The following is a 13947-nucleotide window of genomic DNA, read 5'->3' as shown; positions in this document are numbered from 1 at the left end:
AAGACAATTCAGTGGAAAAGGGAAGTCTTTTTAACAATGGAGCAGAGACAATTGGGTATCCACTGGCACAAAAGTGGAACTGCATACTTTTCACTGCATACAGAACCTTAACAGATCGTAGACCCACATATGTGATCTAACACTATTAAATTTCTAGAAGAAAACAAAATTTTTGTAAACTTGAGTTAGGAAGAGATTTCGGTACATTGCTGTCAGAGAACGTTTGCAGAGAGCTCTGTTCACTGCAGGGGGAGCTGCAGGTCTGCACTGCTTTGTTCTCTTGGGGCAGCCACCCAGGCGCCCTCTGTTCTTAGGGGAAGCTGCCACCCTGGCCTTCAGGGCTGACTGGAGGCACATATCACTGCTTTGCGTCCTGTCCACCCGTGCCCAGCTTTATATACCTGCAGCAGGGGCTGTGAGGGGCGAGGCACCAGCTCAGGGCTGTGTGACCAGCAGGTGGATTTAGATCCTCATCTGTTTGTGCCAGCGCCTGCCCCTGGCTGCTGCCCACCCCCTCGTCTTCTCCTGCTCTTGCTTAAGAGGCCAAAGTCTGACTCCACGGAGGGCACAGCGCATTCCTGAGTGCGATGCTCACTTGGCATCTCTGAGCTGCATTTTCTGCAGCTCAAAAAGGAGGTGTGAGGGATGTGTCCTTTCCCGGCAGCTAGCACTTTGGAAGGCACCACACACCTTCCTCTTTGCTTGTAGACGTGGCTCTTTAGAAAAACAAGATAGCGTTCCCCAGAGCAGGCTCCTTGGAGACAGTGGGAGGGGGTGATGCCACTTGTTGGACATGGCCATTCATAAGCGCAGGTCATGGAAGGGGACGGCAGCCAGGATGGAAAATTAAAGCCCGCATCCCTGGGAAGACGAGCCAGGAGGTCTCACAGCTGCTCCACCTGCAGCAGGCACCGGTCTTCGCAGTGTCCACAGAGCCCTGGCCTGGGAGCTAACGACTCCCCTGTAGCCCTGGGGCTTGCTGTGCTGGGGAGCACCACAGACCCCAAACTTCCTGATTGCTCTCGGTACAGACGAAATGCGCCCGAGTCTTCCAGCAGACGTGGGTAATTTAGGCAAGAAGCATTGTGAACGAGGACAAAGGGGACTTTTGGTTGCATGTTGTTTTTTTTGTCCAGCGTGGCTGCCTAAGGTGACCACGAGTTCTCGTTCAGCTGGCTGAATCACTGCAGGCAAGGGGAAGGACAACACCCTTTGCAAACACGTCCTCTTTTGGCCTTGGGAGGCAGCATGGGAGTGTCTGCTGAGCTGCCATGGCCTGTTGGGGGAGGGGCTGGTTGTTGAGCCTCAGTCCCCTGCCCTTGCTGTCCAGCCTGCTCGGGGCTCACTGAGGTTCCTGTGACGGCCGTCCATGTTCCTCAGAGTTCCGCGTGAGACCCCAGAAGCAGAGCAAAGAGCCCCAGGGCTGTACGTGGGCAGCAAGGAATGAAACGCTGAGTCCTCAGGGGATGTTTGAGGATAGAGGGACAGAGGCCAGTCCAGGTGGAAGGATAGAGAACGGTCTTCCAATAGCAATGTGTTCTGAATATTTTGGAACATAATTAGGTTGCCTTGGTGAATTCCCCTATTTTCTCCAGAGCACTTCTCAATCTGAGGTTACATATTTACTTGGGAATTTACTTACTTATGGATCGAACTGTATCCCCTTGATACTGAATTCCTAACCCGCAGTGCCTGTAAATGTGACCTTGTTTAGAAAGAGGGTCTTTACCGACGTAAGCAGGTTAAGATGAGGTCAGCCCTGTCAGTCACTACATGACAGACGAACAGCAGTTGGAGCCACAGTGCCCAGGTGCAGTGCCCTCCCTTATCCTCAGGGGATGCATTCCAAGATCCCCGGTGGATGCCTGAATCCGCAGATAGCATTGAACCCTAGACAGAACCCTAGATAGACCATGTTTTGTCCTCTGCATGCGTATGTGTGGTAAAGTTTAATTTATAAATTAGGCACAGTAAGAGACTAACAACAATAGCTAATAGTAGAACAATTAGAACAATAAGCCAGCATCACTGCTCTTCTGATTTGGGGCTGTTATTAACTAGGATGAGGGTTACTTGAACACAGGTGCTGTGATACCACAACACTTGTTCTGATCATCAGGACAGCTACAGCTGGGCGCGGTGGCTCACACCCATAATCCCGTAATCCCAGCACTTTAGGAGGCTGAGGCAGGCAGATTACTTGAGGTCAGGAGTTTGAGACCAGCCTGGCCAACATAGTGAAACCCCATCTCTACTAAAAATACTAAAATTATCTAGGTGTGGTGGCGTGCGCCTGTAATCCCAGCTGCTCTGGAGGCTGAGGCAGGAGAATCACTTGAACCTGGGAGGCAGAGGTTGCAGTGAGCCGAGATCGTGCCACTGTGCTCCAGCCTGGGTACAGAGCAAGACTCCGTCTCAAAAAAAAAAAAAAAAAAAAAAAAGACAGCTACAGAGTGACTAGCAGGCAGGTCAAATAGACACTGTGGAGATGCTGGATAAAGGATGCTACACGTCCCTGGTGGGACAGAGCAGGACGGCAGGGGATTTCATTACGCCATTCAGAATGGCAGGCAATTGAAAAAACTTATAAATTGTTTATTTCCAGAATTTTTTACTTAATATTTTCAGACTGCAGTTGACCTCAGGACACTGAACCATGGAAAGCGAAACCGCGGATAAGGGGGAACAAGTGTGTTTCCCAAAGTCACAGTGCACTTAGAGGGGGTCCTCCCACCCCATCCTCCCCTCAGACAGAGACTGGGTGTTGTGTGGGTTTCTACTGGGTCCTCTGAGAGGGCAGCGCTTGGGGTGAAGAAGTAGCCCCCAGACTCTGTCCACCCCCTCCCGCCTCTGGAATGTATCAGGGGGAAGACAGGCCTCCAGTTCCATGAGTTCCTGCCCTGGCCCCGCCCAGCACCCTCATGCCCACCCCCATTCTCACTTGGCCAGCACCACTGACCCCAGCGCACTCAGGCACAAGCGTGTTCCCTGTGCATATGCTGTCCGTGCACATACATCCTGAACCAGGCACACAGATGCACACACATACACGTGTGTGTGTACACATGCACTGTGTTCACACCCCAGAAACACACCTGTGTAGACACGTGCATGCACAGACATGTTTCTGTACTCGAAGTGGGTTCTGAGACAGTGAGCAGCAGGCACTTGGGTTTTTGGCCAGGAGCGCTGCTGTGCTAAGGCTGGGAGGGCCTGGGTCCCTGCAGGCGTCGCGGCCTTCCTTCTTACAGACTCGCTCTAGGTCGCCCCTGCTGTTGACACCCGTGTCAGTGCAGACACAGCCCTCCCAGCTGGGCAGCCGAGTCCGAAGGCTGCCTGCGCGCTGGCCCTTCCATCTCTGCTCCTGCACACGGCTCCTCTGCAGACCTACCTCATCGCTGTCACCTGCTCTCTCCCGTTCCAGAAGCCACCCCTGAGCCACGGGAAGCTCCCAGCACCTGCTCTTTTACTCCCAATTTGCTCCTCCTCTTCCGCCCTCCTCTTTTATTTCTATTTGGAGAAGTATGGAAAGTCAAAAAGTACAGTGAATAAGAGCAACCCCCATATTCCCGTCACCCAGAATGAATAACCTGTTATGTGTGTAGGGTGGTGGGAGGTGGTATGCATGTGTGTGTGAGGGGTGGGGGGTGCATGTGTGGTATGTAGAGTGTGTGTGCGCGTGTGTGGTGTGAGGGTATGTGTGTGGTATATGTGTGTAGTGTGAATGCAGTGTGTGGTGTGTGCATGTATGTTGTGTGGTGTCTGCGCATGTATGGTGTGTTTGGGGTGTGTGTGGTGTCAGCGTGTGTGTGGGCTGTGTAGGGTGTGAATGTGGTGTGTGGGTGTGTGTGTGGTATATGTGTGATGTGTGTGCATGTATGGTGCGTGGAGTGTGTGGGGTGAGCGTGGTATAAGTGTGATCACGTGTGGTATACATGTGTGCTGTGTGTGATATGTGTGCATGTAGTGTGGCGTGTATGCATGTATGGTGTGTGATGTGGCTGTGATGAGTTTGGTGTGAGTGTGCATGTGTGGTGTGAGCGTGTGTGGTATAAGTGTGGTGTGTGCTGTGAGTGTGGTATAAGTGTGTGGTATGAGTGTGTGGTGTGTGAGCAGGTGGGGGGCAGGAAGGGATCAAGCCAGCATTGTTGTTACAGCACTGACTTCCCCATAGGTGATTTCCGCTGCATCCCAGACACCCCCTAGCTGGCCCCAATTTTTGGAAAAGTAAGTGATTTGGGGGTGAATTGCACTACCTTTAAGTGATTCTGAAGTCCTCGGTGGCTCAGAAATGCAGGGAGATGACATTGGAAGCTTCCCTCCCTCTTGTTAGGACAAATCCTGTGATTTGCACACCTTGAAAGTCTGGATCTGGGACCTGGGCAGGCCCTGGCACCCCCGGGGCCCCTGCAGCAGGTGCGGGGAGGGGGCTGGTAGGGCAGTGCACAGGGATGGAAGGTAGCAGAGTGGGCACAACATCCCCTGCAATCCCTAGCACATTCCTGTGGTTCCGTGGGTGGGTGGGCAGGACAGGGAGAGTCACAGGTGGGAGGAGGCCTGGTCCCCTGTCCTCACCCTGCATCAGTCCTGGCTGGTGGCATTCTGACCACCCTCTCCCATAATACCAGGCTCGCCCCTCCCCCAGGCCTGGCTGTGTCCGGAGCTGCCCTCTGGGCTCTGTGGGCAATGTGAACATGTGGCCGCCAGGAATAGCGCCTCATATTTAGACAGCAGCCTCCTCTGCTCCCGGCCTGCCCTTCCAGGCCCTCTGCGGGCAGGCTGGCCATTTGTCCCAAGTCCCTTTCAGGGTTCTGTTGGTGGAAGGGCCTCCATCCTGCCCACCCCTTCAGCTGAAGGCTTCTGTCCCAGGATCACACCCCACGCTCCCAACAGGACTCAGAGGGCCTCGTCTTCCAGCCTAGAAGCCACCGAGTTCTTTTGTGTAAAGTGTAAAAAATGTTTGCACACCCAGCTATTTGTGTGTGTGTGTGTACATTTAAAATTATGTGTTTGTTGTATTCTCATTAGCTAACGTCTTAAGGCACAGTGTGTGTTTACGGTGAAGTTTATAACAGCAGATGTTAACCCACCACGTGAAAGTGTTAACCCGATCATCTCAGAGATGACTTCCTAATCCTGGGTTCTCAGACTGGCCTGAGTCTGGGTGGCGATGGAGACAGCAGTGGCTTCCGGGAGGTCCCTGCACTGGCCCCACCCAGGGGACCATGGAAGGATTGGATCTGGGCCATCTGGGTCTCCTCTGGCCCCTTGTCCTGGCGCCTGGGAGCAGGGGTGTTGGGAGGAGGAGGCTAGGCTGCTCCCGGGCACTGGGCCAGGGCCAGGGCCAGGGCCAGTGGCTGTGTCTCAGAAGTCCAGGCTACCTTCCTGCCCCATGTTCCAGAAAGCTCTCCTGTCCCCAGGCTGCCCTCATTCAGGTACCTTTTCACACTTGGATGACTCCAACGGGCTGATTCAGTACCGCAGTGTCCCAGCAGCTGACAATGACTGGAACTTGGGGAACGTCTCCATGGCCAGACAGGGCCCTGTTGAGGTGGCTGAGGCCACAGCTTAACACCAACAAACCATTTGCTGGTGGTCACAAGACGGGGTGAGTAGCAGCTGCACATTCCTGCAGAGTGAGCAGGCATTCCCAGCTGGGTGGATGAAGGCCCTGCAGCCTGGATGTGGGAGCTGGAACTGTCCGCTTTGCCCGGCACACACTACTGCACCCCATCAGCTAAAATGCATTGCCTACCACGGGGTCTTCACCCACCCACAGCTCTGCTCCAATTCCAGGTTGGGCCCTTCTTCCTCTGGCCACTGTACCTTTATTTTTTTTAGCCTTTGGCATATTTATTACTGTAAAATACACAATACAAATTTTACCATTGTGGCTGGGTGCGGTGGCTCATGCCTGTATTCCCAGCACTTTGGGAGGCCAAGGCGGGCGGATGACTTGAGGTCAAGAGTTTGACACCAGACTGGGCAAGATGATGAAACCCCATCTCTACTAAATATACAAAAAATTAATTGGGCGTGTTGATGGCTACATGTAGTCCTGGCTACTTAGGGGGCTGAGGCAGGAGAATCGCTTGAACCTAGGAGGTGGAGGTTGCAGTGAACTGAGATCGTGCCACTGCACTCAAGCCTGGGCGGCAGAACAAGACTCCATCTCAAAAAAAAAAAAATGTTACCATCTTAAACCTTAAGGCTCATCCATGTTGTAGCATGTGTCAGAATTTCCCTACTTTTAAAAACGGAGTAATATCCCATTTTGTGGATGGACCACATGTGTTCAGGTGAGTACCTAGGACTACAGACAGAGATGGGGTCTTACTATGTTGCCCAAGCTGGTCTCAAATTCCTGGCCTCAAGTGATCCTCCCACCTCAGCCTCCCAAAGTGTTAGGATTACAAGTGTGAGCCACCATGCCTGGCTGAGTTAATTTTTGTATACGGTGTAAGGTAAAGATCCAACTTCACTTTTTTAAAAAATTTAACTGGATTTCCAATTTTCCCAGCACTATTTGATGGAAGGACTGTCCTTTCCCCATTAAATGGTGTTCATACTCTCATCAAAAATCATCTGGCCATACATGCCAGGGTTTATTTCTGGACTGTTGTATTCCACTGGTCCATATGTCTGTCTTCATGCCTGTATCACACTCCATTGATTACTGTAGCTTTGTAGTAAGTTTTGAAATATGAAAGTGTGAGTCTTCCAACTTTATTCTTTCCAGATTGCCTTGATTGCCGGGCGTGGTGGCTCACTCCTGTCATCCCAGGGCTTTGGGAGGCTGAGGTGGGAACATTGCTTGAGGCCAGGAGTTTGAGAGCAGCTTGGGCAACATAGAGACCTTGTTTCTACAATAAACAATTTTAAAAAAATTGGCCAGTCACAGTGGCTCACACCTGTAATCCCAGCACTTTGGGAGGCAGAGGTGGGCAGATCACGAGGTCAAGAGATCAAGACCATCCTGACCAACATGGTGAAACCCCGTCTAGCTGGATGTGGTGGTGTGCACCTGTAGTCCCAGCTACTTGGGAGGCTCAGGTAGGAGAATTGCTTGAGCCTGGGAGGCGGAGGTTGCAGTGAGCTGAGATCGCACTACTCAGGAAGCTGAGGCAGGAGGATCAATTGAGCCCAGAAGGTCGAGGCTACAGCGAGCTATGATCATGCCATTACACTTCAGACTGGGTGACAGAGCAAGGCCCTGTCTCTAAAAAAAGATGGAAAAAAGTTTTTTAAATAAAAAAAGATTGTCTTGACTATTCAGAGTCCCTTGCAATTCCATATGAATTGTAGAATGGATTTTAAAATTTCTTTAAAAAGTGCTGTTGGATTTAGGTAGGTAGTTATTGCGTTGAATCTATAGATTGCTTTGAGTAGTATTAACATCTCAATATTAGGTTTTCCAATTCATGAACATGGGATGTCTTTTAATGTCTTTTTTAATGTCTTTCAGCAACATTTTGTAGTTTTTATTGTAGAAATCGTTCACCTCCTTGTTTAATTTCTAAGTGTGTCATTCACTTTGATGCTACAAATGGACTTGCTTTCTTCATTTGTTCTTGGGTTGCCATTTGTTAGCGTATAGAAATGAGCTTGATTTTTGCAGGTTGAGTTTGTATGCTGCAACTTTGCTGAATTCATTTATTAGTTTTAGCAGATGTGTGTGTGTGTGTAATCTTTAGTTTTCGGTGTACAAACAGAGGATTTTACTTCTTTTCCAATTTGGATGCCTTTGTGTGTCAGCATGTGTGAGTGATAGTGTGTGGCAGGGGAGTGCTGTGTGCGTGTGTGTGTGTGTGTGTGTGTGTGCACGTGTGTTTGAGAGAGAGATGGGTGAAATCAGCTGGCTGGCCTGGGTGCTCTCTGGGGCTATAGAGCACCACTCCTGGGAGTCCGTGCTCCACAGGACAAGGGAGTGAGCTGGAGTTCGGGCAGCAGGTTCACATTAGGGGTGTTTTCATAGATGTCTCTGGATTTCAGTAGCTGGATCCCAGCCAAAGCAAGTGGTAGCAGCTTTGAATTGTTGTAAAATTTCACTGCTTCGGAAAGACCTCTCTTTCTGTGTGTCTTCTCCACATCCTAGTCAAAAAATCATTTCAGAGAGAATCTCAGGAAGGGCTGCTGCCCTGCCACTGAAATGTGGGCCAGTCTGCCTGGGACAGATCCCTCTTTCAAGCAAGCATCTGCTCTTCTCCTAGTTCAGTTGGAAACTTGAGTTTGTCCAAGCGAGGTGGCCTCCGGGAGAGGCCAGGTGGAAGTCCTGATATGAGCCGATGACTTTGGTCTCCTTCTCACAAGCAGTTGCCAGCCACGGGCACATGCAGATTCTCGCCGTCTCCATCATTCTTCCCCTTTGGAGGGAGAACCCAGGAGTGCTGTGGCGCCCCGCGGAGGGGGAGAACCCAGGAGTGCTGCGGCGCCCCGCAAAGGGAAGCTGGGGCGGGAGATGTTCACGGGCGGGGGGTTCTGCCCTGCCCCGCCATGGGTCTCTGCGCCTGCCTGGTCAGATGGTGGAACTTTCTGGGCACGGAGTGGGGGCTGTAACCACACTTACTGCACAGTTGTTGCGAGAATCAAATGTCAGCTGCTTGGGGCCCAGGAGCTCGGTCCAGGTGAAGTCCTTTGTCGGGGGCAGATCCTGCCGTGAATCTGAGTGGATAGAGGCTCGTGCAAGAGGCCAGGCCTCCAGCAGCCCAGGGTTCGCAGGTGGTCTGACACCTGCCCTAACACACTTCTGCTTTGTTCCCCAAACCCAGTGGGTTGATGGAAGCATTTCCGTCCTCTCCCGATGGGTACCCCTGTGCTCTTCACTGCAAACCTCCTTTTTAAGAAGGTTGAGTCCTGAGAAACTCTGCGTACACACACATCCCCCTGTGGCCACCTGTCAGGGTTGCCTGGGTGTCAGTGTCGACAGCTGGGTGGCACTGCCCACGCCGGACATTCTGCTAATAGCCAGGCAGTCATGCCTTCCTCTTCCGAATCAACCTCACTCGGAAGCTCAACGCAAACCCTGCCAGTCACCCAGCAGCCACAGATGGATGAGTCACTGTGATAAATGCACGATGAGGAAATACAGAGTCATCTCCCCACAATTCTATACTCTGTGTGTGAGGGAGACAGAGAGCGGGGTGGGCAGAGAGACAGAGAACACTGGGGAGGAGGAGGAGGAGTCCAGAAGGAGCTGGAACGGCCTTTCTGGGTGAGAACACAGCATGTGCCAGCCTGGCCCTGTGGACCACAAGGCTCACGGTGGCCACCTTCATGGGCCTTCCCTGGACTCGCCTGGTGGGTCCTGAGGGCTTGTGTGCCCCCCCTCACTCTGACCCAGGACGGCCCTAGGGATCCTTTGGCCTCAGACCTGTTCAGGCAGGACCCAGCAGAAACCCCTCCCCCGTCTCCGCCCACAGGCCTCTTTGCCCTTTACAAAGTTTAAGGGTCACTCTGGAGTTTTTCCTTAGGGGCTCAGAAAGTCAGCCACACTCGGCGATCAGGGTCAGGCTTCATGGGGTCAGACAGGCACGGGGCATGCTAGGGAGTGTCTAGCAGCCACTCTTGGGGTGTGAGGAGTCCTGGTCTGCTCCCCCAACAGCAGGCTTCCAGCTTCTAACGCAAACTTGCTGGCTGCAGAGTTGGTGTGAGATGTTCGCCTTGGAAGGCAGACGCACCCTCAGGACGTCAGGAAGTCTTGGTCAGGGGGATTGTGTTGGGGGAGAGACCACCTTAGCTGAAGGGGGTTTCCAGTGTGTGGTTCTGATCTGGGCTGCTGCACAGGCTCAAGGCTCACAGGACGTCCTTCCTCCAGGGTCATATGGGCCCCTGCACTGCAAATCGATGGCACCCATGGGCAGCAGGGCCTCCCTAGACAGCCCATCACACAAAAGACCACCTGTGGCTGGCCCCTCACCTGGAGGTGGTAGCACAGCCGCAGCCACACTTTACCACCGGCTGGGGCAGAGACCGAGGGCCCTGTGGACGGCTGGTCCTTCCCAGGCTCCCACTCGGGGGAGCCCCAGAAACAAGCACACGTATACTGTTAGAAACATCCAAGGGGAGGCCGCGTAACTGGAGGACCAGGAGGAGCATTGCGGCATCTTGGGGCATTCCATCCTGTGCCCTGTGGCAGAGCTGAGCCACGTAGCAGAGCTGAGTCACATGGCAGAGCTGAGCCGCGTGGCAGAGCTGAGTCGGCTTCTGAGAGGGAGCATCCTGTTCCCTGCAGCCCTGGCCAGAGCCACTAGGCCAGCTGGTCCCATCCGGAGGAGCCTCCCTCAGGCGATGGCTGAGGGGTCCCAGGGTCTCTGCTGATGGTCGGTTTATCCAGCTATGCTGCTGACCCTGCCCTCTCTTGCCACCCAAGGGCTAGGCTGCAGTGGGTAGGGGTAGTGGCAGGGATTGGTGAGGTCCCCCAGGGTGTGGCAGCCACTGGAGGAGGGTGGCTGGGCTCCGGCTGCCCTCTCGTGGAATCTTGGCATGCTGCTCAACCTTCAGCCTCAGTTTCCTCTTCCACGAAAGGGGAAAACAGTGGCTCAGGGGCTGGCAGTTGGACTAAGGAGCTGACGCCTACATGGTGGCTACTGATAACACCACAGTCGCTCTTTTGCTTTAGGAAATTGTCTCAAGGACGTTCCTGTTAAAATGCAAATGTTGGTTGTAAATTATCCCCCCTCCTACCTGGCACCAGCTGACTCATCAGAAGGGCTAGGGGCATAGAAGGGGCAACAGTGGGGGGCACAGGGAAGCCCTGGCTCGCAGCCTTGGGGAGATGGCACTGCCCCTCAGGGACCGTGAAGCTGCCGCCACGCATCGCCCCTGCCTCAGAGCTGCCCATGAGGCCCTCCCGAACTGTCCAGCCAGCCTGGCTGCCTTGGCTGGGCCCCTCAGTGGCCCCTTCACGGTGTTTGTTCTCCCCAGCTCAGCCACAACGCCTGCTGGCTTCCCATGGCCCTGGGGTGCTGTTGCCCTGGCCCTCCCTTCCCTCTTCTCTGTTCAGGTTGCATGGCTGTCATGTTAATCACCATTCAAGGGACCCTTAACTTCTGTGTCTCTCACTCCCCTGGACTTGCCTGGAAAGCCTCTCCCTCGAATTCTCCGTGCCCCGGGCAGCAGCTGCAGCTCCAGCGCAGGCAGAATGGGAGCCGAGACGAGAGCCCCGAGTGTCTTCTCTGCCCGTGTGGCCGTCCCTCAGGCTCCAGCCACCTCCCTTGCTGTGCCAGGTAACCTGTACCACACGTCCATCTTCAGGTCCCCCCTGCCTCGGGACCTTGGTACGTGACGTCCCCTTTCCTGCCAGGCTCAGGCCCTGGCTTCATTGAGGTCTCCATGGCGCGGTTTCCTCCCTGGACTCCCTCCGTGGCTGTGGCCTCTGCACACCCAGGCCACCTTGCCTTATGCTGCATGGCCTGCACCGCTGCTTGCCGTCATGGGTATTTTTTAAAAGGTGATTAATAACTCCTTCACCTTGAAAAAGGTGGGGGATCACCTTATTCTGAAAACTCATAAAGGGACAGAATCAAGTATGTATCCTGCTTGTCCTGGCAAACAAAGAGTTGATGATGGAAAGTTCTTCATAGACGGTTAGCTAATAGGCCGGGCGTGGTGGCTCATGCCTGTAATCCCAGCACTTTGGGAGGCCGAGGTGGGTGGATCACAAGGTCAGGAGATTGAGACCATTCTGGCTAACACAGTGAAACCCCGTCTCTACTCAAAATACAAAAAATTAGCCGGGCGTGGTGGCGGGTGCCTGTAGTCCCAGCTACTCGGGAGGCTGAGGCAGGAGAATGGCGTGAACCCGGGAGGTGGAGCTTGCAGTGAGCCGAGATCACACCACTGCACTCCAGCCTGGGCGACAGAGAGAGACTCCGTCTCAAAAAGAAAAAAAAAAAAAGTTAGCTAATAAATGAAGAATGAATTAAAATATTGCCATTTTGCAACTTCCAGTGAAATCTCAGATGTGGGCATTGGTCCTCAATGGCTGCAGAAATTAGGAGGCGACAGGCTGTCGGGGGCCTTCACGGTGTGAGGCAGGCTGGCCATAGATGGACCCCAATCGATCTAATCAGAAGGACAGGGACAACCAGACGCCGTGCGCCTTCGGATGGGACGTGCTGGGAATCACACGGCCCCACTGGGACCAGCCTGAATGAGGCCAGCCTCTGGTTCTACGCACTGGTGTACCAGGCACAGAGGGGAATGTGCTGAACTGCACCCAGCCACACACAGGCCATGAGACCCGGCAACAACCTGGTGTCCTGTCCTCAACAAATCAATGAAAGGAAAAAGAGAAGGAATCTTGTCTGTTGATTAAAAAAAAGGTAGATGAGCTCTAGCCGCCAAACACAGCACGCAGACCTTGCCTGGACCCTGATTGTCATAAACTAACCAAACAGACAGAGGCTACCAAAAGCATTGATGAGGCAGTTGGGAACTTTGGTGGTATGAAGGAATTACTTATTTTGGGGTGTGATAATGGGATCGTGATTATTTTTTAGAAAGAGCTGTCATTTAGAGATTCTGCTGCACTGTTGGTGGTGCAAGGAGAGATTTACTTCAAAATACGCCAGTGGTGCTCGCGTGGGGACGGGGCTCAGGGTGCCATGGGGTACAGATGAGAGGCCACTGGTCACCAGCCACTGTGATGAGGGCTGCAGGGCTGACAGGTACAGGGTGTTTAGTATACTTTGCTTTCCGTTGGTATATATTTGGCAATTTCCTAATAAAAAGTCAAAAATTGGCCGGGCCCTGTGGCTCATGCCTGTAATCCAGCACTTTGAGAGACTGAGATGGGAGGATCACTGGAGGCCAGGAGTTTGCGACCAGCCTGGGCAATAGAGCAAGACCCTATCTCTATGAAGAAAAAATTGGCCAGGTGTGGTAGCACATGCCTGCAGTTTCAGCTACTCAAGAGGCTGAGGTGGGAAGACTGCTTGAGTCCAGGAGTTTGAAGTTGCAGTGAGCCAGGATGGTGCCACTGCGCTCCAGCCTGGGTGACAGAGTGAGAGCCTGTCTCGAAAACATTTTTTTAAGTTAAAAATCAGCCAATAGGTGGATTATTCATCCCATAATCACCATTAGGCTGAAAAGGTAACATTTTTCCTTTGGGTCACAAAGGTCTTCTGTAACCCCAGCAAAGTATGAACGTAATATTACTTAAACTCCAAGAAGTCTTCAAAACAGGCAGTGTTATAAGCTAGGGTGGTTTACACAAGCAGAGAAACAAATAGATGACGCAAACCCTGATTGTGTGGAACCCAGTTTATATGTTTGTGTGTTTTGTTTGCTTTCAAGAAGTTTAAGGTGTTTGGAAGAATCACTCACCCTAAATCATTGATTATGGTTTTAATGGTTTAAGGAGATGTAGTTACACCAATAAGCCTTAAATGATAAGAAAACTGCTTTTTCAAAGTTCCCCTTATTCTTACATTAACTTTATTATTTTTTATTTTTTATTTTTATTTTTGAGACAGAGTCTCATTCACTCTCACCCAGACTGGAGTGCAATGGCGCGATCTCGGCTCACTGCAACCTGCACCTGCCAGGTTCAAGCGATTCTCCTGCCTCAGCCTCTAGAGTAGCTGGGATTATAGGCATGCACCACCACGCCCAGCTAATTTTTATATATTTTTTTTAGTAAAGATCGGGTTTCGCCATGTTGGCCAGGCTGGTCTTGAACTCCTGACCTCAGGTGATCTGCCCGCCGTGACCTCCCGAAGTGCTGGGATAACAGGTGTGAGCCACCATGCCTGGCCACATTCACTTTAATAACTAAAACATTATAGAGCTGCAGGGCTCTGTTGAACACGCCCAGGGTTGGTCCCGCCTTGTGCTGGCTCTGTTTCTCCTTCTTTTCGTTTGGTGTTGGTGTTTCTCCTTCTTTTCGTTTGGTGTTGGTGTTTCTCCTTCTTTTCGTTTGGTGTTGGTGTTTCTCCTTCTTTTCGT

At 52.4% G+C, this 13947-nt stretch overlaps 1 protein-coding gene across 11 annotated transcripts in view, besides 4 other annotated features; it reads left to right on the top strand.

The window, feature by feature from the left end:
* HSF2BP (heat shock transcription factor 2 binding protein) overlaps positions 1-13947 on the top strand; it is a 214517-nt gene that overhangs the window by 155650 nt on the left and 44920 nt on the right. For 2 of the 11 annotated variants that reach the window (XM_011529443.3, XM_047440674.1), the window contains one exon: positions 5421-5909. The exons of 5 other annotated variants lie outside the window; for them this stretch is intronic. In XM_011529443.3, the coding sequence (XP_011527745.2) occupies positions 5421-5457 (37 nt within the window). In that variant the 3' untranslated portion in view covers positions 5458-5909. Of the gene's footprint in view, positions 1-5420; positions 6027-13947 lie in introns of those variants that run through there. 4 more of the 11 variants (XM_017028267.2, XM_017028270.2, XM_047440677.1 and 1 more) reach the window with 4 other exon arrangements.
* Positions 21-830: an enhancer, noted in NCBI's record as "H3K27ac-H3K4me1 hESC enhancer chr21:44922889-44923698 (GRCh37/hg19 assembly coordinates)". NCBI's record gives its function as "activates a minimal SCP1, AML or CMV promoter by ChIP-STARR-seq in primed H9 embryonic stem cells {active_cell/tissue: H9 hESC(primed)}" and the evidence as "EXISTENCE:reporter gene assay evidence [ECO:0000049][PMID:30033119]".
* Positions 4148-5052: an enhancer, noted in NCBI's record as "H3K4me1 hESC enhancer chr21:44918667-44919571 (GRCh37/hg19 assembly coordinates)". NCBI's record gives its function as "activates a minimal SCP1, AML or CMV promoter by ChIP-STARR-seq in primed H9 embryonic stem cells {active_cell/tissue: H9 hESC(primed)}" and the evidence as "EXISTENCE:reporter gene assay evidence [ECO:0000049][PMID:30033119]".
* Positions 8936-9230: an enhancer, noted in NCBI's record as "tiled region #13752; K562 Activating DNase matched - State 25:Art, and HepG2 Activating DNase unmatched - State 5:Enh". NCBI's record gives its function as "activates a minimal TATA promoter and a strong SV40 promoter by Sharpr-MPRA in K562 cells, with weak activation in HepG2 cells {active_cell/tissue: HepG2 | K562}" and the evidence as "EXISTENCE:reporter gene assay evidence [ECO:0000049][PMID:27701403]".
* Positions 10587-11442: an enhancer, noted in NCBI's record as "H3K4me1 hESC enhancer chr21:44912277-44913132 (GRCh37/hg19 assembly coordinates)". NCBI's record gives its function as "activates a minimal SCP1, AML or CMV promoter by ChIP-STARR-seq in naive H9 embryonic stem cells {active_cell/tissue: H9 hESC(naive)}" and the evidence as "EXISTENCE:reporter gene assay evidence [ECO:0000049][PMID:30033119]".

Source organism: Homo sapiens, chromosome 21, assembly GCF_000001405.40.
Source record: "Homo sapiens chromosome 21, GRCh38.p14 Primary Assembly".
Lineage (NCBI taxonomy): Eukaryota > Metazoa > Chordata > Mammalia > Primates > Hominidae > Homo > Homo sapiens.
This window is presented reverse-complemented; position numbering and strand designations above follow the sequence as displayed.